This window comes from Homo sapiens, chromosome 1, assembly GCF_000001405.40.
Source record: "Homo sapiens chromosome 1, GRCh38.p14 Primary Assembly".
In the NCBI taxonomy this organism is placed as follows: Eukaryota; Metazoa; Chordata; class Mammalia; order Primates; family Hominidae; genus Homo; species Homo sapiens.
In genome coordinates this window covers 175,223,856-175,227,299 of record NC_000001.11, presented here as the reverse complement: position 1 = coordinate 175,227,299, position 3,444 = coordinate 175,223,856, and the positions used below count along the sequence as shown (strand labels likewise).

Genomic DNA, 3,444 nt, shown 5'->3' with positions numbered 1-3,444 from the left:
ATGATTGAAAGAGCTGAGCTGAGTATTTCATCAATGCCCTGGGAGGCAATGTTTGGCATTCCAAGCCTGCCCATTGAGTGCAGAGAGGCCCAAATCACCAGGACAGCACTCAGGTGGGCAGAGCAGTAGATTTTATTGGATCCAAAGGGAAAGCCCTATGTAAGCATGCATCAAAGCGGCCCCTGCTTCTCTTCCTAGGTGAGAGATCAGCTAACTTTTCAGTCAGTCATACAACTATCTATTGTGGCTATCCTCTCTGACACCTTAGAGGAGATCTTAGTTGTTTGGCACATTCCTTGGAGAACAATGGAATTAAATCTTTTGTAGCCTAACAAATATTCCTCAACATGCAGAGCTGATTTCTGGGGAAAAGAAGGACCAATTGGCATATGGCATTCGGAATCTTTTGGAAAGGAAGTAACCTAGACTCCTACACCTTTCTATCCAAGATTTAAAATTACAGAAGCAGGAGTGGCCTGACCATGTTTTGTTGGCAGGAGAGGATCCTAAAGGCCCCAAAGACAAGAGGAGTGAAGGGATGCCATGCTGGGGACTCAGACTTATCACTGGGGCCTGAGGCTTATGGGTATGAATCAACTCTGGGAGAGTGTGTGGCTGAGGCAGAAAGAGGCTCATAGTGCAGCCATCAGAACTCATGGTAGTCCTTTGGGAGCAATGTTTGAGAGTGACAGTGTGAACTTAGGGAGCTGTACCCTTGCAGCCTAAGTGTGGGTTCAACAGTACTGACAATAGCCTAGAACTTTGAAGATGCCATGGGATTGGCAAATAGTTTTCAACAGGGATACCATGTGGCAGCAGGAAAAATAAGCTGCATTGGATCAGACCCTGCTTTGTCACCTACTGTGTTTGAGCCAAAAGTCTGGCTCACTTTGGATTGAGTGACCCCCTGGTGTTCAGAACAATGGAAGAGAAAAGGGCTTCTCATGAGATCCTGGACTTCCTACAAATAAGGATAAAAGTGCACCCTGGTGATTAACTGAAAAAATGAAAAGCACCATCTACTTGGAAGTGGCCATATATGCAGTATGGTATATGGTACGCCATATATATGACAAATAATATATATACCTGATATGTATGGAAAAGACATGCTGCTTTACAATCATGAAAATTTGGCTAAAGCTGTCTTTTCTGGGAGGACAATGGGTGTTTTTATTTATCTTTTTAATTGTATGGACTTTCAAATACTCTAAAAATTTTCTACATGCATTACTTTTTCTAAAAAAAGTAAATCAAATATAAAAGAAGAGAATGTTTAGCCCTCATCCTGCCAGACAGATGCCCCTGCAGGTGACCCCGGGAACTTATCACCAATGATAACTTCCACATCCTTTTGTGGCTCCTGTGATGTCCATAGGTGGTGATTCCTAGGCCAGTGAGTGGCCAGGACCTGTGCTCCCCTCAAGCAGGAATCCTGGCCCACCTGTCTTCCCCAGCCCAGAATAGGATGAATAGGAGGACCTTCCTGGCCTCCTGTTACTGATCAGGCTCCCTCCCTCTACCATTCTGGGGATGCTAATGAGGTGACCGCTCATGGGTGTCAAGAAGGGATTTCCCACACAGGCTCCTCTGTACCACACGTGTGCTTTGCAGATTTTCACTTCAGGTGCCAGGTGGCACGCCCACACAGAGACAAACAGACCCTCTCCCATGTGATTTGCATGCCCCGGCCTATCCTCCTGGGGTCACTTCATCGTTACTAACATTTATATATGGCACTCACCTGGCCAGAGCTCTGTGCTGAAGGCTGAGGGGCACGCAAAGATGAAAGCTCTGACTGTCTTTAACGAACCTTCAATCTAGATGGGACCTGGGGGACATAGAAGAAAGAGTCGCTTCAAAGTAGAACATGCTGAGTGTTAAAATAGGGATAATCTCCTGATTGACTTCCTCCCATGCCAACCAAAATTACTCCTATCTGTTATCAGGTTCTGCCTTCCAAACCTCTCCAATGAGTGCCCTTGTATCCATTCCCACTGCCTCTGCAATGGTTCAGTCCTCATCCAGCTGTTACCAAGGCTCTTATACTGGCCTCTGACCACCATTCTTCCTTCATGCATTTGCATTGCCGGAAGGCAATCCTTCATTGCTGTGTTAGTCAGCATTCTTCAGGGAAACCGAACCAATGGGCTATATAGGGTGAGTGTGTGTGTGTGTGTGTGTGTGTGTGTGTGTGTGTGTGTCCTGTCCTAAAAACAGTGAATAGCCCCCCATTACCTTCAGAAGGAAGTCTTAACTCCTTAGCACAACACTCAACGCCTTTCCCAATGTAACTGTAACCTATCTTTTCCACCTGAGCTCTGTCTTTAAATTTTTTCTTCTCACACTCCAGCCCCAAGAAGAAGGCCCCTATAGCCATCCACCTCCCCACTTTATTCCCCACAAATACAGCACTTTGGGAAACCAAGGCAGGTGGATCACCTGAGGTCAGGAGTTTGAGACCAGCCTGGCCAACATGGCAAAATCTCATCTCTCCTAAAATACAAAAATTAGCCAGGTGTGGTGGTGGGCTCCTGTAATCCTAGTTACTCGGGAGGCTGAGGCATGAGAATTGCTTGAACCCAGGAGGCGGAGGTTGCAGTGAGCCGAGATCGCGCCACTGCACTCCAGTCTTGGTGACAGAGCGAGACTCTGTCTTGAAAACAAACAACAACAACAACAACAAAAATACTCTAATAAGACCAGATTTATCAACATTCCTCAAATTCGACACAGCCTGGAATATCCTTTTCTTTAACTTCTGCTTTTCTTTTTTCTTTTTCTGTTTTCTTTTTTGCGATGGAGTCTCATTCTGTTGCCCAGGCTGGAGTGCAGTGGTGTGATCTCAGCTCGCTATAACCTCTGCCTCCTGAGTTCAAGCAATTCTCCTTCCTTAGCCTTCCGAGTAGCTGGAATTACAGGCACACGCCACCACACTCAGCTGATTTTTGAATATTTAGTAGAGACGGGGTTTCACCATGTTTACAGGCTGGTCTCGAACTCCTGACCTCAAGCGATCTGCCCTCCTCAGCCTCCCAAAGTGCTAGGATTACAGGCTGAGCCACCATACTCGGCCTAAATTCTGCTTTTCAAAATTCTGTTCACTCTTCAGGCTACAATTTAAATGTTTTCTTTTCCACAGAGCCTTTTTCAGACTCCAGCTGGGAATTAATCCCACCTCAGACCACAACACTTGGCTTATATCTTCTTAAACGCACTCATTATGTTATGCTTTGCCATCATCAACTTAACCTTGAGTTCCCAGAAAACAAATACCATATATCATTCCCCTTTGTGTCCTCTACAACACAGGGCACATAGCAGACACTTCTCCTCCTCATTGAATCAAGTAGCAAGTTATTCTTATCTTGTTTTCAATACAAAAAAATATTTAAGAAGCCCCATGACTCAGGGCATGGTCCACAGATGCCAGATGACTGAGAG

At 45.5% G+C, this 3,444-nt stretch overlaps 2 annotated features.

Moving 5' to 3' along the window:
• Positions 1,500-1,549: an enhancer, noted in NCBI's record as "active region_2134". NCBI's record gives its function as "activates an Ori minimal core promoter by ATAC-STARR-seq in GM12878 lymphoblastoid cells {active_cell/tissue: GM12878}" and the evidence as "EXISTENCE:reporter gene assay evidence [ECO:0000049][PMID:35858748]".
• Positions 1,760-1,839: an enhancer, noted in NCBI's record as "active region_2133". NCBI's record gives its function as "activates an Ori minimal core promoter by ATAC-STARR-seq in GM12878 lymphoblastoid cells {active_cell/tissue: GM12878}" and the evidence as "EXISTENCE:reporter gene assay evidence [ECO:0000049][PMID:35858748]".